General features: G+C 38.5%; 1 long non-coding RNA gene across 1 annotated transcript in view, besides 2 other annotated features; it reads left to right on the top strand.

Moving 5' to 3' along the window:
- Positions 1-22,610, top strand: part of LINC00467 (long intergenic non-protein coding RNA 467) — a 49,781-nt gene that overhangs the window by 8,457 nt on the left and 18,714 nt on the right. The window contains exons 2-4 of the long non-coding RNA NR_026761.2: positions 405-486; positions 616-765; positions 5,556-5,620. This is a non-coding gene — a long non-coding RNA (long intergenic non-protein coding RNA 467). The remainder of the gene's footprint in view (positions 1-404; positions 487-615; positions 766-5,555; positions 5,621-22,610) is intronic.
- Positions 7,054-7,797: an enhancer, noted in NCBI's record as "OCT4-NANOG-H3K27ac hESC enhancer chr1:211571607-211572350 (GRCh37/hg19 assembly coordinates)". NCBI's record gives its function as "activates a minimal SCP1, AML or CMV promoter by ChIP-STARR-seq in naive and primed H9 embryonic stem cells {active_cell/tissue: H9 hESC(naive and primed)}" and the evidence as "EXISTENCE:reporter gene assay evidence [ECO:0000049][PMID:30033119]".
- Positions 9,283-10,024: an enhancer, noted in NCBI's record as "NANOG-H3K27ac hESC enhancer chr1:211573836-211574577 (GRCh37/hg19 assembly coordinates)". NCBI's record gives its function as "activates a minimal SCP1, AML or CMV promoter by ChIP-STARR-seq in naive H9 embryonic stem cells {active_cell/tissue: H9 hESC(naive)}" and the evidence as "EXISTENCE:reporter gene assay evidence [ECO:0000049][PMID:30033119]".

A 22,610-nucleotide genomic window follows, 5' to 3' on the forward strand; every position in this document is an offset into this window, starting at 1 on the left:
AGTTATCCTTATTTCTTTCTTTCCTTCATAGCCAGTCCACCAGTAATTCCTGGTGATTCTGATTCTTGAATTGAGCCTCTTCTTTCTGTCTCTATTACTACTACTCTAGTCCATTTGTTCTCAGTAGAATTGTGGTTCTCAACAGTGGTTGCCCCCCAAGGGACAGTTGTTAATGTCTGGAGCCATTTTGGGTCGTCACACATAAAGGTGCTATTGGCATCTAGTGGGTAGAGGCCAGAAATGTGGCTCAACAGCCTAAAATCCATAGGAAAGCCCTTCACAACAAAGAATAATCCAGCCCAAAATGTTAGTGCTGAGGTTGTTATCATTTTCATTTTCTTTGTCCCCAGAAATATTTTGCATTTTAAATTCTCTAATAATGTGTCAATATTTTGGTTTTATAGACATGGCAGGGAGGTTTAATAGACATGGATAAGAAGTCCACTCACAGAAATCCTGAAGATGCCAGGGCTGGCAAATATGAAGGTAGGAGTTTATGCTTGCTTTAAGGCCTTTTGAGTAATTTAAGATACATTTTATGAATTAATGTGTATGTTTCTCATATGTTGCTAATATTTGGGAAAGTAATTGTGTTCCATTTTATATCTCTTTAAGGTAAACACAAACGAAAGAAAAGAAGAAAGCAAAACCAAAACCAGCACCGATCCCGACATAGATCAGTGACGTCTTTTTCTTCAGATGATCCTATGTTTCCTTCTTCCTCATCATCGTCTTCAGGAAGCCAGACAGATTCAAGTATTGAAGGTATGTTTATCATCCTGTTAAGGTTTCATATTTATAAGTTAGGTGATTTAGAAAAAAAATACTAAACATGTTATAATTTTTGTTTATTCAACTAATATTTATTGAGCATACTCACTATGTACCAGACATAATGGTAAACATGCCATGGTCCCTTCAGACAAGGAACTTTTATTATATTAAGCAATATTAGGAATGATAGAGGAGTTAAAAAGAATAAAAAAGAAAATATATTAGGCAATAAAACAAGCAAATACTTCATTACAATGCAGGTGAGTGCTATTACTTCACCTGCATATGTCATGGGGACAAGGAAGGGCTTTGAAGAGGAAATGATTATCTAAACTGAGAGGTGGAGGATGAATAGGCATTTTCAAGCAAAGGCAAGGAAGTGAAATTACGGAATATTTATTATAGGCTAAAGAAATTGCATGTGCTAACCACTATTAACATTTGGGTTCCTAATTCAAGTAATATGTCCCAGCTGCAAAGGGAGCTGGGGAAGCAAGATTGGCTTCTTCAGCACTGATGGTGAAAGGCATGTGGACAAATATTCACTGAACATAGGAGGCGGAATCAGATACTAGGCAATCAAAATATAACAAATGTTCTCCACACTCAACCCTAGACAAGATCAGTTGACTGGCTCACTTTAAATTACTCCTTTGTCTCACCTACCTTTACTCTCTCAATGTTTGTAAGTTGTGTTGTAATTAGTTTTTCTATCGGCTAATTTGGTATTAATAAGTAGCATACTTGTAACTCTGCTTCTTGTTCCATCAATTGTAGTCAATTATTTTATTCTGTCTTACATAAGTTAAATATATTGGTATATCTATCCTTTCCTCCATTTTTTTCTCCCCATTGTCTTCTTTTAGGTTTTCAGTAGTTAATATCTACAACAAGAATTGTCTTTCTTTTTTCGTTCATAGATTCACTTTAAATCTTTAAGACCAATAATTAGCATTTAAATCACTATCATTATATAAATAGTGTTACTACAGTGCCAAGTCATATGCAAGAATTGCATTTCCATTTCATGGATCTAATGTTATGATTGCTAGGACTCTCAAAGGAGAATGTTTTAGTCACAGCATCAAGTACATCATTTATATTCTATCAGTTGCTTAAAACCGTGCTGTATCTTAGTTTTTGCTTCGTATTCGAACCATCACTTTCTCATAGTTTTTGTTTTTCTTAGAGTTTCTAGTTCTCCCTCTTGTTTTTATTGTTGACAAAAAGATCATATAACTGCCATAATGAAAAGATTTTCCATCCTTTTAATTATACTATTCCTTAGAGTTCATTTCTTTTCTCTGGAGATGTTCTTGCCTGCCTAGTGTAGTCTAGACCATTTTCTACCCTCAAGGCCTGCTATATCTCTTATCCTAGGATCTCCCCTCGCTGGTCTTCTGGGTTGGATCCATTGTTTTCTTAGATTCATGTCTTCCTGTCTCTTAGTGTTCTGCCTTGACTGTTAGAGTACACTGTCAAATAACTTTTTACAAAATGTTGTCTGGGAAGTAAATTTTCTGAGTCTTGGCATATCTCAAAATGTCATTATTCTACCCTCCCACTAATTGATAATTTCAAAATGATTCTTCCCAAACCCAGTTTCCAGAAGCAGGCATTTCAAACTCTTTTAGCAGTCTGTTTTGATACCTATCTCTGATAGATATGATTCCATAATTTGTTTATGTAATCATTTCTACATTTTTCAGTTTTAGGCTCTATGGATGATTAGAATTTAGCTTTTAATTTTTTTATTTTTATTTATTTATTTTTTTTGAGACGGAGTTTCGCTCTGTCACCCAGGCTGGAGTGCAGTGGCGCAATCTTGGCTCACTGCAAGCTCCGCCTCCCAGGTTCACGCCATTCTCCTGCCTCAGCCTCCCGAGTAGCTGGGACTACAGGTGCCCGCGACCACGCCTGGCAAATTTTTTGTGTTTTTAGTAGAGATGGAGTTTCACCATGTTAGCCAGGATGTTCTCAATCCTTGTGATCCGCCCGCCTCGGCCTCCCAAAGTGCTGGGATTACAGGCGTGAGCCACCGCGCCCGGCCGAATTTAGCTACTTTTTAAACCACTATTTCTCCCTACATTTACTTTCTTCCCCCCATCCACCTAAATAGGATTTCATTATTATAACTTTGATAATTTAATACTTTAATTGTTATGGCTATGTAGATGCTATGCTGTTCACAGCTGAACCATATAATGGTTCCTTTCTAGCACAACTTGTTTATTCCTTACAGTTAATTATTATTATTATTATTATTATTTTATTTTATTTATTTATTTTTTGAGATGGAGTCTTGCTCTGTTGCCTAGGCTGGTGTGCAGTGGTGCGATCTTGGCTCACTGCAGCCTCTGCCTCCCAGGTTCAAGTGATTCTCCTGCCTCAGCCTCCTGAGTAGCTGGGATTACAGGGGTGTGCCACCACACCTGGCTAATTTTTTCTATTTTTAGTAGAGATAGGATCTCACTATGTTAGCCAGGATGGTCTCGATCTCCTGACTTCATGATCTGCTTGCCTTGGCCTCCCAAAGTGCTGGGATTACAGGCATGAACCACCGCACCTAGTCAATAAAATTTGTTTAGTTTTCTGTGTTTGTGATGTGTTGTAGTATAAATTACCTTTGAAAAGGTTCAGACACATCAGGTATTCAGTTAATTTCATTTCGGGATTCTCTCCTAGATCCATTTAACATACTCCATTTGGACTTACTGTTCTCAAGGCCTGTTAAGCAACTGTGATATTAAGTTCTTTTGTCTTCATTCTGGATATATCCTTTACCTCTCTTTTGGGTTTGGTCGCCCATTTTCTGGATCATATTGTTTCTTCCTCCTTTATTTTCCCCTTATTTTACTGGATAACCTATAACTTTCAGGAAAAAGATGAGCAGCTAATTCCTATTCAGTTTGTAGTTATGGGTTTATACTATTACATAAATTTCTTTTATTGACTTCTGCTTCCAGTAACACAGACCCTCTGTAGAATACCCAGGAGGGATAGGAATGAATCAGAGGTAAGTGGAGCCTTACTGGAATTGTAATCTCATCTCTGCCTAGTCCCCGGTTGGGTTTCGATCATCATCCGTCATTCTGTTTGCCTAGTGGAGGATAAATAATCTTGAGAGATGGATAGCATCATCTAGAATCTCTAGAATTTTTTAATACAGCATACATAACTTTTAATAAAAAAAATTACTAGATATGCCTACATGACTGAAAAACAAGAGAAAAAAATAGTAACAGCCCTACAGGTAATCCAGATGTTGAGTTAGCTGGCAATGAAGTTTAAATAGTTATGATTAATATATTTAAGAAAATAGAGATTTATCAACTGTAAGAAAGAATCAGGTATAAATCCTGGAATAAAAAATTCATTATCTAAAATTAACAATTTAGATAGATTTTTTCAGTAGATTAGACACACACACAAAAAGAATTAGTAAACTAGAAGTCACATCAGGAGGGAAAAAAAAGAAAGATACAGAAGAAAATGTTAGAGACATGTGAGACACAGTAATGAGATCTAACATTGTAATTGGAATCAAAGAAGGAAAGAAAAACAAATGAGGAAGAAGCAATATATAAAGAGAATAATGCTTAAAAGTTTCCCAGAAACCGATGAAAGACATCAACTAAAGATTCAAGAAACTGACATCCCCAAGCTGGATAATACAAAAATCACATCGGTAACTTTTGCTTCTAGTCAGGAAAATGGTTGTCTTTTGTAGAACGGAGTAGTTAATGTGGTGGCAAATTAACATTCTCCTTTTCCATGTTCTTTTTCTTTTTTTTTTTCTTCTTTTTTTTTTTTTTTTTTAATTTTGAGACAGTCTCGCTCTGTTGCCCAGGCTGGAGTGCAGTGGCACAATCTCAGCTTACTGCAACCTCCGCCTCCCAGGTTCAAGTGATTTTCCTGCTTCAGCCTCTTCAGTAGCTGAGATTACAAGTGTCCACCACCATGCATGGCTAATTTTTGTATTTTTAGTAAAGATGAGGTTTCGCCATGTTCCCCAGGCTGATCTCAAACTCCTGACCTCAAGTGATCCACTTGCCTCGGCCTCCCAAAGTGCTGGGATTACAGACATGAGCCACCACACCCGTCCTCCTTTTCCATTTTCTAATTAAAATAATTCATTTTTTATATTTTCCAATAGACTGCTTAATAGTTGCATTCACATAGTTTCTGCTAATAACACCTTATACTCCCTAGATTAACTAGAGGTTGCATTCTGGTGGACCTAGGAGAGTATTGTATTTTAGATGGGTTCCTAAATGCCATATATTTATACTGGGATACAACTATAATTAAACTTTTTTCTTTTTTCTTCTTTTTTTCGAGACAGTGCCTCACTCTGTCACCCAAGCTGGAGTGCAGTAGCATGATCTTGGCTCGCTGCAGCCTTGACCTGCTGGGCTCAAGTGATCCTCTCACCTCAGCCTGCTGAGTAGCTGGGACTACAGGTGCACTCCACCATGCCTGGCTCATTTTTGTACTTTTGGTAGGGGCATGGTTTTGCGATGTTGCCCAGGCTGGTGTCAAACTCCTGAGCTCAAGTGATCTGCCTGCTTCGGCCTCCCAAAATGCTGGAATTACAGATGTGCACCACCATGCCTGGCAAATTAAACAGTTTTATCTGCTATTTGTATCTTGTAAGATTCTTCCAACAAGCATAATAAAGTTGATTAAAATATCAATTATTTTAATCCTTCAAATTCTTTAATCAGTAAAATAATTTTTAATGTTAGAGCTGAAACTTCCAAATCTTTTTAAACTTTTAGATGCTGCCAAGGGAAAAATTAAGAAGAAGAGAAGAGAGAAAACAAATAAATGGGAAAAAAGAAAGGTTAGTAATTGTGAGTAATATAAGAATAAGATTTGGCTATTAGAGGATATTGTACGTATTAATTAAGAAACAGAATCTATAAGGAATTTGAAGAGATAAAAGTCAAAGATTGGTTAACATGGTAGTTAACATGGTGCTAAGCTTATAGTGTCCTTTGCTGCTTTTCAAATACTTCTCAGAAAACTATGCAGACGGGTAAAACCTTATAATTACAATTCTTTAGATTCTTTTTAATTTTGGTGTTAACATAGTTATAAAATAGCCTATGTGCTTTGAAATAAATGCAAGTAATAGAGACATAAATTAAATGAAAGGTAAAATAGCTACACTCTTTTCTCTTTATTTAATTTCCCTATGGGTATCACTCAAGTATTTGCTGTACAACCTTAGATTTTTCCTCTGTGCACATGGAAATAAATAAAATAAATATAAATAAATATGTATAGTTTTATGTACTATATAATACACATATAATTTTATGCTAACAAAAATAGTCTATCAATTTGCTTCTCTAAATTTATTTCATATAATAGTTTATGAACTATGTGTAACATATATAAAACAGACAATAGTAAAGCATCATGAACCTATTTAACTAGAACATTACCAATTATGATTATCTTTCAGTATTTTTCTTCCTCCTTCTATTCACTTGCCTTCGCATTAAAAGTAATATCCTAAATTTTGTGTTGCTCCTTCTCATGCCTTTTGAAAATCACTTTATTACAAATGGATGTATGTTGAAATATTATTTTGTTTAGCTTATTTGGTTTGGGGTTTTATAAGAATAATATATTTTCTGCAGTTTTCTCTAGCTACTTTTTCACACAATATTTTGTTTTTATGATGTATTCATATTTTTGTGTAGCTGTAGTTCATTAATTTTCTCTGCCATATAATACTCTATTGTGTGAATAAAGCACAATTTATCCATTGTCCTGTGGATGGACATTTACGATGTTTCTAATTTTTTTCCTTGTATTTAAAAAAAGATTTTGTGAGTACCCAGTAGGTGAGTGTATTTATGGGATATATGAGATATTTTGATACAGGCATGCAATGCATAATAATCCTATCAGGGTAAATGGGGTATCCATCACCTCAAGCTTTTATCCTTTCTTTGTGTTACAAACAATTCACTTACACTCTTTTAGTTATTTTATTTTATTTTTTATTCTTATTTATTTTTATTTGTTTGAGACAGAGTCTTGTCCTGTTGCTCAGGCTGGAGTGCAATGATGCGACCTCGGCTCACTGCAACCTCTGCCTCCCGGATTCAAGCAATTCTCCTGCCACAGCCTCCTAAGTAGCTAGGACTACACGCATGCACCACCACACCTGGCTAATTTTTGTATTTTTAGTAGGGACGGGGTTTCACCTGGTTGGCCAGGCTGGTCTCGAACTCCTGACCTCATGTGATCCGTCCACTTCAGCGTCCCAAAGTGCTGGGATTACAGGCATGAGCCACCGTGCCCTGCCTCTTTTAGTTATTTTTAAATGTACAATAAATTGTTGTTGACTGTAATCACCCTGTTGTGCTATAAAATACGAAATCTTATACATTCTAGCTATATTTTTATACTCATTAATCATCCTCCTTTCCCCACCTTCAACTACCCTTCTAAGCCTCTGGTAACGATCGTTCTGGTATCACCATGAGTTTATTTGTTTTCATTTTTAGCTCCCACAAATAGGTGACAACATGTGAATTTTGTCTTTCTGTGCCTGGCTTTTGTCACTTAACAATGACCTCCATTTCCATCCCTTGTTGCAAGTGACAGCATCTCATTTTTTTTTTTTTTTTGGCTGAATAGTGCTCCGTTGTGTATTTGTACCACATTCATCTGTTGATGGACGTTTAGATTGCTTCCAGATCTTGGCTATTGTTGCTGAATTCTTTTTCTCAGCATGGAACGTCCCTGAGAAAGAGAATGCACGCCTAGGGGTAGGTCTCTGAACTGGCCCCCCCGGGGCGTACCTGTCTCTTATGGTTGAGACTGCAGGGACGAAATAAACTCCAGTCTCCCATAGCGCTCCCAGGCTTATTAGGAAGAGGAAATTCCCACCTAATAAATTTTGGTCACACCGGTTGATCTCAAAACCCTGTCTCCTGATAAGATGTTATCAATGACAGTGGTGCCCAAAACTTCATTAGCAATTTTAATTTCGCCTCGGTCCTGTGGTCCTGTGATCTCGCCCTGCCTCCACTTGCCTTGTGATATTCTATTACCCTGTTAAGTACTTGATGTCTGTCACCCACACCTATTCGTATACTCCCTCCCCTTTTGAAACTCCCTAATAAAAACTTGCTGGTTATTGTGGCTTGTGGGGCATCATGGATCCTAACAACGTGTGATGTCTCCCCCGGACGCCCAGCTTTAAAATTTCTCTTTTGTACTCTGTCCCTTTATTTCTCAAGCCAGCCGACGCTTAGGAAAATAGAAAAGAACCTACATGATTATCGGGGCAGGTCCCCCGATATCTGGCGCCCACGTGGTCTTTCTTTTTTCCTAAGTGCATGAGGGAACCCGATTCCCTTTGGTAGGTGCGGTGAAACATCAATCGGCTTGGTCCACAGATAAGCGTGTTCAACTCCCCGACGAGTGGTGAGTAATCTGTGTAAGGTCTGGGTTAACTATGGGTCATTTGTAATCTAAGAAACTCCTGTTAAAACAGGTAACCATGAAAAATATGATCACTCTATTCAGGACAGTAGAAAAATACTGTTCTTGGTTTCCTGAAAAAGGAACCGTGTATATAAAATTGTGTCATTTTGTTATCACTCTATTCAGGGCAGTACAAAAATACTGTCCTTGGTTTCCTGAAAAAGGAACCGTGTATATAAAATTGTGTGATTGTGTTCGTAAAGCATTCCGAAAACTGGTCTCGGCAGGGTATTATGTTCCCATCACTGTTTGGGGTGCTTGGGCCTTGGTGCATGCCATCTTAGTGGCTTGCCAATCTCGTGACCCCCTGCAGTTGCCGCAGTTTTCTGCCTTTTCCTCAGTTTCTCTGCCTTTTTCTCAACCTTCCTCTACCACATGGCCTTCGTTCAGACTCTCCCTTCAGCTACTCCTCCCCTACCTAATGATTCTGAAAATTCGATGTCTAACTCTGGTAACTTTGGCTTAAAGTTACCCCCTACTTTTCTTACTTCTTCTCACGAAAAGCCAGTACTTCAAACTCCTGCGGCTGCGACTCACACAGCCCGGTGCCATAGATATGCTAATTCTTCTCTCTTCAAACCTCCAGCATCAACTAATGGCTCTGGGACCAAACTACAATTTACCTATCATTCTCCAGGCCCTCCCCCATCCACTACAGCCCCTCACCCTCCTGTCGTTTCAGTTCCTCAACCGGTCTGCATCGATACGCGCCGCTGAATCTTACCTTTTTAAAAACAATTTAAGGATGCTTGTACTCAGTATGGTCCTACTTTTCCTTATGTTCAAATGGTATTGCAAACTTTTTGTACTGAGGTCGCTTTGCTTCCTTTAGACTGTGACCTTTTGGCAAAAAGCTGTTCTAACTCCATCTCAGCCTGGTGGTCAGAGGAGGCCTGTTTTCAGGCTCAGCTAAATCGGAGTAATGACATTCTAGTTACTCAGGCTCAGCTCACAGGCTCCAATAGTTTCTCTGATACTTATGCCCAATTAAACTTTGATACTTTTACCACAAAACAAGTAACAAAGGTGTGTATGAGAGCTTAGGATAGATTACACTCCCCAGGCCAAGCTCCTGTTTCTTTTACTGCTGTTAAACAAGCTCAATTGCTTTCACTACCTAATATCGTTTTAAACGAAGGAGATAAGACATGTGGCCCTGGGATGGGCTCCGGAAGTGAAAAGGCCGCTTATTGGGTTAATGTAATTTCTAAACAACGGCCCACCTACACCATACACATTAAAGGAAAAAAGTTTGAGGGCCTAGTGGATACTGGTGCTGATGTTTCTGTTATTTCCTCTAGTTTATGGCCTTCCTCTTGGCTTAAACATCCCACAACATCACAACATGTGAATTTTGTCTTTCTGTGCCTGGCTTTTGTCACTTAACTATGACCTCCATTTCCATCCCTTGTTGCAAGTGACAGCATCTCATTTTTTTTTTTTTTTGGCTGAATAATGCTCCGTTGTGTATTTGTACCACATTCATCTGTTGATGGACGTTTAGATTGCTTCCAGATCTTGGCTATTGTGAATAATGCTGCAGTAAACACCAGAGTGCAGATATCTCTTTGACATACTGATTTCCTTTCTTTTGGGTCTATACCTAGGAATGAGATTGTTGGATCTTATGGTAGCTCTCTTCTTAGTTTTTTGAGGAACTTCCAAACTGTTCTCCATAGTGGTTATACTAATTTATATTCCTGCCAACAGTGTATGAGGGTTCCCCTTTCTCAGCATCCTTCTCAGCATTTGTTATTGCCTGTCTTTTGGATAAAACCGATTTTACCTAGGGTGAGATGATATCTCATTATAGTTTTGATTTGCATTTCTTTGATAATCAGTGATGTTGAGCACCTTTTCATATGCCTGTTTGCCATTTGTGTGTCTTCTTTTGGGAAATGTCTATTCAGACCTTTTGCCCATTTAAAAATAGGATTATTAGATTTTTTCCTATAGAGTTGTTTGAGCTTGTTTTATATTCAAGGGTTATCAATCCCTTGTCAGAAGGATAGTTTGAAGGAATTTTCTCCCATTCTGTGGGTTGTCTCTTCATTTTGTTAATTGTTTCCTTTGCAGTGCAGAAGCTTTTTAACTTCATATGATCCCATTTGTACATTTGTGTTTCAGTTGCCTGTGCTCGTAGGGTATTACTCAAGAAATCGTTGACCAGTCCAATGTCCTAGAGAGTTTCTCCTAATGTTTTCTTGTAGTAGTTTTATAGTTTTTGGTCATAAATTTAAGTCTTTAATACATTTTGATTTGATTTTTGTATCTGGCAAGAGATGGAGGTCTAGTTTCATTCTTCTACATATGGATATCCAATTTTCCCAGCACCATTTATTGAAGAGAATGTCTTTTCCCCAATATATCCTTTTGGTACCTTTGTCAAAAATGAGTTCACTGTAGATGTACGTGTTTGTTTCTGGGTTCTCTATTCTGTTCCATTGGTCTGTGTGTCTGTTTTTATGCCAGTACCATGCTGTTTGGGTTACTGTAGCTTTGTAGTATAATTTGAAGTCAAGTAATGTGATTCCTCCAGTTTTTTTCTTTTTGCTCAGGATAGCTTTGGCTATTCTGGGTCTTTTCTTGTTCTGTATAAATTTTAGGACTTTTTTTCCAATTTGGTATTTTCATAGGGATTGCATTAAATCTGTAGACTGCTTTAGAGAGTATGGATATTTTAACAATATTGATTCTTCCAATCCATGAACATGGACTATTTTTTCTTTTTTGTGGTCTTTTTAATTTCTTACATCAATGTTTTATTCTTTTCATTGTAAAGATCTTTCACTGTTTTTTTTTTATACTTTAAGTTCTAGGGTACATGTACACAACGTGCAGGTTTGTATACATGTATGTATGTATACATGTGCCATGTTGGTGTGCTGCACCTATTAACTCCTCATTTACATTAGTTATATCTCCTAATGCTATCCCTCCCCCCTCCCCCAACCCCACGACAGGCCCCAGTGTGTGATGTTCCCCACCCTGTGTCCAAGTATTCTTATTGTTCAGTTCCCACCTATGAGTGAGAACATGCGGTGTTTGGTTTTCTGTCTTTGCGATAGTTTGCTCAGAATGATGGTTTCCAGCTTCATCCATGTCCCTGCAAAGGACATGAGCTCATCCTTTTTTGTGGATGCATGGTATTCCATGGTTTATATGTGCCACATTTTCTTAATCCAGTCTATTATTGAAGGACTTTTAGGTTGGTTCCAAGTCTTTGCTATTGTGAATAGTGCTGCAGTAAACATACGTGTGAGTGTGTCTTTATAGCAGCATGATTTATAATCCTTTGGGTGTATACCCAGTAATGGGATCGCTGGGTCAAATGGTATTTCTAGTTCTAGATCCTTGAGGAATGGCCACATTGTCTTCCACAATGGTCGAACTAGTTTACAGTCCCACCAACAGTGTAAAAGTGTTCCTATTTCTCCACATCCTCTCCAGCACCTGTTGTTTCCTGACTTTTTAATGATCGCCATTCTAACTGGTGTGAGATGGTATCTCATTGTGGTTTCGATCTGCATTTCTCTGATGGCCAATGATGGATGAGCATTTTTTCATGTGTCTGTTGGCTCCATAAATGTCTTCTTTTGCAAAGTGTCTGTTCATATCCTTCACTCACTTTTTGATGGGGTTGTTTGATTTTTTTCTTGTAAATTTGGTTAAGTTCTTTGTAGATTCTGGATATTAGCCCTTTGTCAGATGGGTAGATTATAAAAATTTTCTCCCATTCTGTAGGTTGCCTGTTCACTCTGATGGTAGTTTCTTTTGCTGTGCAGAAACTCTTTAGTTTAATTAGATCCCATTTGTCAGTTTTGGCTTTTGTTTCCATTGCTTTTGGTGTTTTAGACATGAAGTCCTTGCCCATGCCTATGTCCTGAATGGTATTGCCTAGGTTTTCTTCTAGGGTTTTTATGGTTTTAGGTCTAACGTTTAAGTCTTTAATCCATCTTGAATTAATTTTTGTATAAGGTGTAAGGAAGGGATCCAGTTTCAGCTTTCTACATATGGCTAACCAGTTTTCCCAGCACCATTTATTAAATAGGGAATCCTTTCCTCATTGCTTGTTTTTGTCAGGTTTGTCAAAGATCAGATGGTTGTAGATGTGTGGTATTATTTCTGAGGGCTCTTTTCTGTTCCATTGGTCTATATCTCTGTTTTGCTACATGTACCATGCTGTTTTGGTTACTGTAAGCCTTGCACTATAGTTTGAAGTCAGGTAGCATGATGCTTCCAGCTTTGTTCTTTTGGCTTAGGATTGTCTTGGCAATGTGGGCTCTTTTTTGGTTCCATATGAACTTTAAAGTAGTTTTTTCCAATTCTGTGAAGAAAGTCATTGGTAGCTTGATAGGGACGGCATTGGATCTATAAATTACCTTGGGCAGTGTGGCCATTTTCATGATATTGATTCTTCCTATCCATGAGCATGGAATGTTCTTCCATTTGTTTGTGTCCTCTTTTATTTCGTTGAGCAGTGGTTTGTAGTTCTCCTTGAAGAGGTCCTTCACATCCCTTGTAAGTTGGATTCCTAGGTATTTTATTCTCTTTGTAGCAATTGTGAATGGGAGTTCACTCATGATTTGGCTCTCTGTCTGTTATTGGTGTATAAGAATGCTTGTGATTTTTGCACATTGATTTTGTATCCTGAGACTTTGCTGAAGTTGCTTATCAGCTTAAGGAGATTTTGGGCTGAGATGATGGGGTTTTCTAAAAATACAATCATGTCATCTGCAAACAGGGACAATTTGACTTCCTCTTTTCCTAATTGAATACCCTTTATTTCCTTCTCCTGCCTGATTGCCCTGGCCAGAACTTCCAACACTATGTTGAATAGGAGTGGTGAGGGAGGGCATCCCTGTCTTGTGCCAGTTTTCAAAGGGAATGCTTCCAGTTTTTGCCCATTCAGTATGATATTGGCTGTGGGTTTGTCATAAATAGCTCTTTTTATTTTGAGATATGTCCCATCAATACCTAATTTATTGAGAGTTTTTAGCATGAAGGGTTGTTGAATTTTGTCAAAGGCCTTTTCTGCATCTATTGAGATAATCATGTGGTTTTTGTCTTTGGTTCTGTTTATATGCAGGATTACGTTTATTGATTTGAGTTTGTTGAACCAGCCTTGCATCCCAGGGATGAAGCCCACTTGATCATGGTGGATAAGCTTTTTGATGTGCTGCTGGATTCGGTTTGCCAGTATTTTATTGAAGATTGTTGCATTGATATTCATCAGGGATATTGGTCTAAAATTCTCTTTTTGTTGTGTCTCTGCCAGGCTTTGGTATCAGGATGATGCTGGCCTCATAAAATGAGTTAGGGAGGATTCCCTCTTTTTCTGTTGATTGGAATAGTTTCAGAAGGAATGGTACCAGCTCCTCCTTGTACCTCTGGTAGGATTTGGCTGTCAATCCATCTGGTCCTGGATTTTTTTTGGTTGGTGGGCTATTAATTATTGCCTCAATTTCAGAGTCTGTTATTGGTCTATTCAGGGATTCAACTTCTTCCTGGTTTAGTCTTGGGAAGGTGTATGTGTCAAGGAATTTATCCATTTCTTCTAGATTTTCTAGTTTATTTGCGTAGAGATGTTTATAGTACTCTCTGATGGTAGTTTGTATTTCTGTGGGATCGGTGGTGATATCCCCTTTGTCATTTTTTATTGCGTCTATTTGATTCTTCTCTCTTTTCTTCTTTATTAGTCTTGCTAGCGGTCTATCAATTTTGTTGATCTTTTCAAAAAACCAGCTCCTGGATTCATTGATTTTTTGAAGGGTTTTTTGTGTCTCTATCTCCTTCTGTTACACTCTGATGTTAGTTATTTCTTGCCTTCTGCTAGCTTTTGAACGTGTTTGCTTTTGCTTCTCTAGTTCTTTCAATTGTGATGTTAGGGTGTCAATTTTAGATCTTTTCTGCTTTCTCTTGTGGGCATTTAGTGCTATAAATTTCCCTCTACACACTGCTTTGAATGTGTCCCAGAGATTCTGGTACGTTGTGTCTTTGTTCTCATTGGTTTCAAAGAACATCTTTATTTCTGCCTTCATTTCGTTATGTACCCAGTAGTCATTCAGGAGCAGGTTGTTCAGTTTCCATGTTGTTGAGCAGTTTTGAGTGAGTTTCTTAATCCTGAGTTCTAGTTTGATTGCACTGTGGTCTGAGAGACAGTTTGTTATAATTTCTGTTCTTTTACATTTGCTGAGGAGTGCTTTACTTCCAACTGTGTGGTCAATTTTGGAATAAGTGTGATGTGGTGCTGAGAAGAATGTATATTCTGTTAATTTGGGGTGGTGAGTTCTGTAGATGTCTATTACGTCCGCTTGGTGCAGAGCTGAGTTCAATTCCTGGATATCCTTGTTAACTTTCTGTCTCGTTGATCTGTCTAATGTTGACAGTGGGGTGTTAAAGCCTCCCATTATTATTATGTGGGAGTCTAACTCTCTTTGAAGGTCTCTAAGGACTTGCTTTGTGAATCTGGGTGCTCCTGTATTGGGTGCGTATGTATTTAGGATAGTTAGCTCTTCTTGTTGAATTGATCCCTTTACCATTATGTAATGGCCTTCTTTGTCTCTTTTGATCTTTGTTGGTTTAAAGTCTGTTTTATCAGAGACTAGGATTGCAATCCCTGCCTTTTTTTGTTTTCCATTTGCTTAGTAGATCTTCCTCCATCCCTTTATTTTGAGCCTGTGTGTGTCTCTGCACGTGAGATGGGTTTCCTGAATACAGCACACTGATGGGTCTTGACTCTTTATCCAATTTGCCAGTCTGTGCCTTTTAATTGGAGCATTTAGCCCATTTACATTTAAAGTTAGTATTGTTATGTGTGAATTTGATCCTGTCATTATGATGTTAGCTGGTTATTTTGCTCGTTAGTTGATGCAGTTCCTTCCTAGCATCGATGGTCTTTAAAACATGGCATGTTTTTGCAGTGGCTGGTATTGGTCATTCCTTTCCATGTTTAGTGCCTCCTTCAGGAGCTCTTTTAGGGCAGGCCTGGTGGTGACAAAATCTCTCAGCATTTGCTTGTCTGTAAAGTATTTTATTTCTCCTTCACTTATGAAGCTTAGTTTGGCTGGATATGAAATTCTGGGTTAAAAATTCTTTTCTTTAAGAATGTTGAATATTTGCTCCCACTCTCTTCTGGCTTGTCGAGTTTCTGCTGAGAGATGAGCTGTTAGTCTGATGGGCTTCCCTTTGTGGGTAACCGGACCTTTCTCTCTGGCTGCCCTTAACATTTTTTCCTTCATTTCAACTTTGGTGAATCTGACAATTATGTGTCTTGGAGTTGCTTTTCTCGAGGAGTATCTTTGTGGCGTTCTCTGTATTTCCTGAATTTGAATGTTGGCCTGCCTTGCTAGATTGGGGAAGTTCTCCTGGATAATATCCTGAAGAGTGCTTTCCAACTTGGTTCCATTCTCCCCGTCACTTTCAGGTACACCAATTAGACGTAGATTTGGTCTTTTCACATAGTCCCATATTTCTTGGAGGCTTTGTTCGTTTCTTTTTATTCTTTTTTCTCTAAACTTCTCTTCATGCTTCATTTCATTCATTTCACGCTGATACCCTTTCTTCCAGTTGATTGCATCAGTTACTGAGGCTTGTGCATTTGTCACGTAGTTCTCGTGCCGTGGTTTTCAGCTCCATCAGGTACTTTAAGGACTTCTCTCCATTGATTATTCTAGTTATCCATTTGTCTAAGTTTTTTTCAAAGTTTTTAACTTCTTTGCCATTGGTTTGAACTTCCTCCTTTAGCTCGGAGTAGTTTGATCTTCTGAAAACTTCTTCTCTCAACTTGTCAAAGTCATTCTCCATCCAGCTTTGTTCCGTTGCTGGTGAGGAGCTGCGTTCCATTGGAGAAGGAGAGAGGCTCTGATTTTTAGAGTTTCCGGTTTTTCTGCTCTGTTTTATCCCCATCTTTGTGGTTTTATCTAGCTTTGGTCTTTGATGATGGTGACGTACAGATGGGGTTTTGGTGTGGATGTCCTTTCTGTTTGTTAGTTTTCCTTCTAACAGTCAGGACCCTCAGCTGCAGATCTGTTGGAGTTTACTGGAGGTCCACTCCAGACCCTGTTTGCCTGGGTGTCAGCAGCGGTGGCTGCAGAACAGCGGATATTAGTGAACCGCAAATGCTGCTGCCTGATTGTTCCTCTGGAAGTTTTGTCTCAGAGGAGTACCCAGCCGTGCGAGGTGTCAGTCCGCCCCTACTGGGGGGTGCCTCCCAGTTAGGCTACTCAGGGGTCAGGGACCCTCTTGAGGAGGCAGTCTGCCCGTTCTCAGATCTCAAACTATGTGCTGGGAGAGCCACTACTCTCTTCAAAGCTGTCAGACAGGGACATTCAAGTCTGCAGAGGTTATTTCGTCTTTTGTTTGTCTGTGCCCTGCCCCCAGAGGTGGAGCCTTCAGAGGCAGGCAGGCTTCCTTGAGCTGTGGTGGGCTCCACCCAGTTTGAGCTTCCTGGAGGCTTTGTTTACCTACTCAAGCTTGAGCAATGGCGGGCGCCCCTCCCCCAGCCTCGCTGCCTCCTTGCAGTTTGATCTCAGACTGCTGTGCTAGCAATGAGTGAGGCTCCGTGGGCATAGGACCCTCCAAGCCAGGTGTGGGATATAATCTCCTGGTGTGCCGTTTGTGAAGCCCATTGGAAAAGCACAGTATTAGGGTGGGAGTGACCCGATATTCCAGGTGCCATTTGTCCCCCCTTTCTTTGACTAGGAAAGGGAATTCCCTGACCCCTTGAACTTCCCGGGTTAGGTGATGCCTCGCCCTGCTTCGGCTCAAGCTCAGTGCACTGAACCCACTGTCCTGCACCAACTGTCCAGCACTCCCCTGTGAGATGAACCTCGTACCTCAGTTGGAAATGCAGAAATCACCTGTCTTCTGTGTCGCTCACGCTGGGAGCTGTAGACTGGAGCTGTTCCTATTCCAATAAAATTGTTCTTTAATCAACACAATTGATAAACCTTTAGCTATTCTGAGCAAGGGAAAAATATAGAGAAAAGACACAAATACCAAAGTTAAGAGTAAAAGATAGGACATCACTACCGACTCTATGGAAGTTAAAAGTATTATAAGGGAATATTATGAATGACTTTATGTCAACAAATTAGACAACTTAAATGGCCAAATTACTAGAAAGATGCAAATTAACGAAACTGATTCAAGAAGAAGGGGAAAATATCAATAGGACAATAATAAATGAAGAAAAGTAATGTGACTAAAATGAATTGGTAATTAGAAATCTTTTCAAAAGGGAAAACCCAGGCCTGGATGGCTTCTTTTAAGGAAGAAAGATTACCAATCCTACAGTATTTTTGGGCGGAAATAAAAAGGAAACAATTTGTAACACATTTTATGAGACCAATATTACTCAGATATCAAAACCAGGCGAACACATCACAAGGAAGGAAAATTGCAGACAAGTATTCTTCATGAACATGTATACAGAATTCCTTAATGAAATATTAGGTAACAGAATCCAGCAACATTTGAGAAGGATTAGGCAACAGAATGAGACCATGCCAATAAAAAAATAAAGAGAAGAAGTCTGGGCATGGTAGCTCACTCCTGTAATCCTAGCACTTTGGGAGGCCGAGGCAGGCAGATTGCTTGAGACCAGGAATTCGAGACCAGCCTGAGCAACATGGTAAAACCCCATCTCTACTAAAAATACAAAAATTAGCTGGGTGTGGTTGTGCATGCCTGTAATCCCAGCTTCTTGGGAGGCAGAGGCACTAGAATTGCTTAAACCTGGGAGGCGGAAGTTGCAGTGAGCCAAGATCTCGTGTTGCTGCACTCCAGCCTGGGCAACAGAGTAAGACTCTGCCTCAAAAAAAAAGAAAAAAGAAAATGATTATATACCATATTCCAGGAGTACGAGGATGGTTTAGTACTCCAAAATCAATTAATGTAATATGCCACTTTAATAACGGAAAACCACGTCGTCATCCTAGTAGACACATAAAATATGTTTGATGAAATGTAACTTTCATTAATGATAAAATTCTCAACACACTAGGCATGGAAGAGAACTTCCTAAATTTCATAAAGAGTATCTACAAAAGACCCACAGCCAACATTATGCTTAATGGTGAAAGACAATGTTTTCTCACACTTCAGTGTGTACTTGAAATTCTAGCTAGGGCAGTAAGGCAAGAAAAATTAAGTTATATTGGAAAGAAAATAACTAAAACTTTATTTGCAGACATAGAAAATCCTAAGTAAGCTGAATAAATTACTAGCACTAATAAACAAGTTTAGCAAGATCACTATTCAGAAATCATATCTATATATGTTAGTAATACTCACCTAAACCAAAATTATAAAAACAATTCCAAGACCAGAAGTGGTGGCTTATGCCTGTAATCCCAGCACTTTGGGAGACTAAGGTGGATGAATTCTGAGGTCAGAATTTCAAGACCAGCCTGGCCAACGTGGCGAAACCCTGTCTCTACTAAAAGTACAAAAATTAGCCAGGTGTGGTGGTGCACACCTGTAATCTCAGCTACTCAGGTGGCTGAGGCACGAGAACTGCTTGAACCCAGGAGGTGGAGGTAGAAGTGAGCCGAGATCGTGCCACTGCACTCCAGCCTGGGTGATAGAGTGATACTCTGTATCAAAAAATAAATAAAAATAAAAATAATTCCATTCCCAGTAGTGTCAGAAAGAATAAAATACATAGCAATAAACTTAGCAAAATAAGTGCAAAATGTGTACACTTCTGAAAGAAACTAAAGATCTAAGTTAAGTTGAGAGATACTCCATGTTCATGTATATTGTTAAGTATATTGTTAAGATAGCAATTTTATCCTAATTAATCTATAGATTCAATGCCCTCCCTACTAAAATCACATCAGGCTTAAAAAAAAATAAATTGACAGGCTGATTCTAAAATGTATATGGAATTCAAAAGTCTTAAAATAGTCAATGCAATTTGGAAAAAGAACAAAGATTAAGGACTTACACTACCCAGTTTTAAAACTTATGAAGCAACAGTAATCACAGCAATGTGCTGTTGGCTTAAGGATAGATAACAGACTAACGAAACAGAATTGGAAGTCCAGGATAAAACCCTTACATTTATGGTCAGTTGACTTTTGACAAAAGCGTCAAGATAATTCAATGGGGGAAATGATAATTTTTTCAACAGATGGTGCTGGGACAATTATACATCCATATGCAAAAAAAATTTGTTATCTCATGCCATGTGCAAAATTTAACTCTAAATGGATCATAGACTTACATATAAGAGCTAAATAAAGTTTCTAGAAAGTGGCAAGGAGAAAATTTTTGTGACTTTGGGTTAGACAGGTATTTCTTGGATATGACAACAAAAACATGATCCACAAGAGAACGGAATTAATAGATTGAACTTCATCAAAATAGAAAAAATTCTGCTCTTCAAAAGGCACCATTAAGTGGAATTAAAAGACAAGTCATAGACTGGGAAAAATATTTGCAAATCTTATATGTAATAGAGGACTTTTATCTGAATATATAAAGAACTCTTATAATTTGATAGTAAGATAATCCAGTTTTTTAAATGGGATAAAAAACATTTAAAAATTAGTATTTATTATGTTTTAACTAAAGAACAGTTTTCTTTATACAATGGCTTATATATACATGAAAAGATGCTTCATAGCATTAGCCTTTAGAGAAATGCAAATTAAAACCACAATGAGATGTCACTACACACCCACTACAATAATACAATAAAAAAGATTGCCAATACCAAGTGTTGGTGAGGGTGAGGAAGAATCAGAACCCTCATACATTGCTCGTGGGAACATAAAATGATACAGTCACTTTGAAAAACAGTTTGGCCATTTCTTAAACAGTTAAAAATATACCTGCAGTTTTATTTCTACATATCCACCCCTATACCCCCAAAACATATGTCTACACAAAGGCTTATTGTGAATGTTCATAGGAGCATTATATGTAATAGGCAAAAACTGGAAACAGTTCAGATGTCTATCAGCTGGTGAGTAGATAACCACAATATGGTATATACATGTAATGGAATATCATTCAGCAATAAAACATAGGCTACTGATACATGCTGCAGATGGATGAACCTTAAAAACATCATATGAAGTGAAAGAAGTCAGACACAAAAGACTAGTATTGTTTGATTCCATTTGTATAAAATTTTTAGGATAGGCAAATCTGTGGAGCCCAGTGATGACCTGGGCTTGAGTCTGTGAGGTGTCAAAGTGGGGACTTGTTGCATATGGGCAGAGAGAACTTTTCTTCTTCTTCTTCTTTTTTTCTTTTTTGAGATGGCCTCACTCTGTCGCCCAGGCTGGAGTGCAGTGGCGCAATCACAGCACACTGCAATCTCAACCTCCTGGGCTCAAGCAGTCCTCCCACCTCAACCTCCCATATCTGGTACCACAGGCATTTGCCACCACACCCAGCTAATTTTTGTATTTTTTGTAGAGACAAGGTTCCACCATGTTGCCTAGGCTGGTCTCAAACTCCTGGGCTCAAGCGATCTGCCTGCCTCAGCCCTCCACATTGCTGAGATTAATGATGTGAGCCACTGCACCCGGCCTAGAAGGGAACTTTTTATGCTGATGGAAATGTTCTGAAACTGGATTGCAGTAATGGTTGCACAACTCTGAATTTTACTAAAAAATCATTGAATACTTAGGGTAAATTTTATTATATACATACTATGCCTCCACAAAAGTATAAAAAAGAAGACACATCGAATACTAATAAAATAAATATAACAAAATACAGTAATTAAAATGTAAAATAACAGAATTTTTCTTACTAGTATCAGTATAGTGATTCTTAAATTATTTTTATTGTAAGATTGAGCAAATGAATAAACGTGAAGTGGTTGAAAAAACCAGGGTTTTCACTGTGGAAGAAGAAAGACACAAATACAGAATGGAGGAAGACAAAGAAGAACCTGTGGGACTTGATCGAGATTTGAAATTAATCAATTTAAACTTAGGATTTCTAGAATATTTCCTACCTCTGTAGCTGAAAGGGTCTAGAAATAGTGGTACCCTAATAGCAATGAAGACACCTAGTGTTCAGTTCATGGTTTCTAAATACCATTCTCTACTAAAAGGAGCTAGTACTCCTTGGTTACTCCTTGGTAAAATGGCTGGCTCTAAGGCTAAGTCAAGAAAGTGAACACAGAGAAAAATAATAATTTTGTAGTGGTGGAGAAGCCTTGTAGACATTACTGAATCAAGTGATCAAAATTAGCATTATCAATAATGAGACAAATCAAAATTGTGTGACTCCTGTTGGGATGCATTGAGAAGAACACAGCATCACTGATGTGATATTCCTGCCAAAGATGTTGTCCTAGTTCAGAGTGCTATAACAAATTACCATGGGCTGGGTGGCTTAAACAACATACTTTTATTTCTCACACTTCTGGAGGCTGAAAATGCAAGATCAGGGTGCCAGGGTGATTCTGTTCTTTGTGAATGCCCTTTTCCTGGTTTACAGAAGGTGGTTTTCTTGCTGTCTCAAATGACAGAAAGAGAGCTAGCTATTCTTTTTATAAGGACACTAACCTCTTTCATGAGGGCTCCACCCTCATGACCTAATTACCTTGCAAAGCTGCCACCTCCAGGCCAGGTGCCATGGCTCACACCTGTAATCCCAGCAGTTTGGGAGGCCAAGGCGGGCAGATCACTTGAGGTCAGGAGTTCAAGACCAGTCTGGCCAACATGGTGAAACCCCATCTCTAATAAAAATACAAAAATTAGCCGGGTGTAATCCCAGCTACTCAGGAGGCTGAGGCAGGAGAATGGCTTGAACCCAGGAGGTGGAGGTTGTGGTGAGCTCAGATTGCATCACTGCACTCCAGCCTGGGCGGCAGAGTGAGACTCCATCTCAAAAAAAAAAAAAAAAGCCACGTCCAAATAGCATCATATTGGATTAGAGTTTCAGTGTATGAATTTTGGGAGGTGACACAGAAAATTCATTCCATTGCAGATCCATAACCTAAATCTAATAATGAGAAATCATTATACATGCCTAAATTGAGAGACATTCTACAAAACAACTGGTCTGTAATCTTCAAAACTGTCATCATTAAAGTCAAGGTAAAACTGAAGAACTGTTCCAGATTGAAGGAGATTAAAGAGACATGCCATTTAAATGCAGTGCCTGATTCTGACCTGAGTCCTTTAGCTATAAAGGACATCAATCTTTTATCTATAAAGGACTTGGAAAAACTTGGATGCTGTTTGAAAATTAGATGATAGTAATGTATTAGTGTGAATTTCCTGATTTTGACCTCAGATTGTGGTTACATAGGAGAATGTCCTTGTTTGTTGGATGACAACTTACTGGAAATA

The sequence above is a fragment of the Homo sapiens genome, chromosome 1 (genome assembly GCF_000001405.40).
Source record: "Homo sapiens chromosome 1, GRCh38.p14 Primary Assembly".
In the NCBI taxonomy this organism is placed as follows: Eukaryota; Metazoa; Chordata; class Mammalia; order Primates; family Hominidae; genus Homo; species Homo sapiens.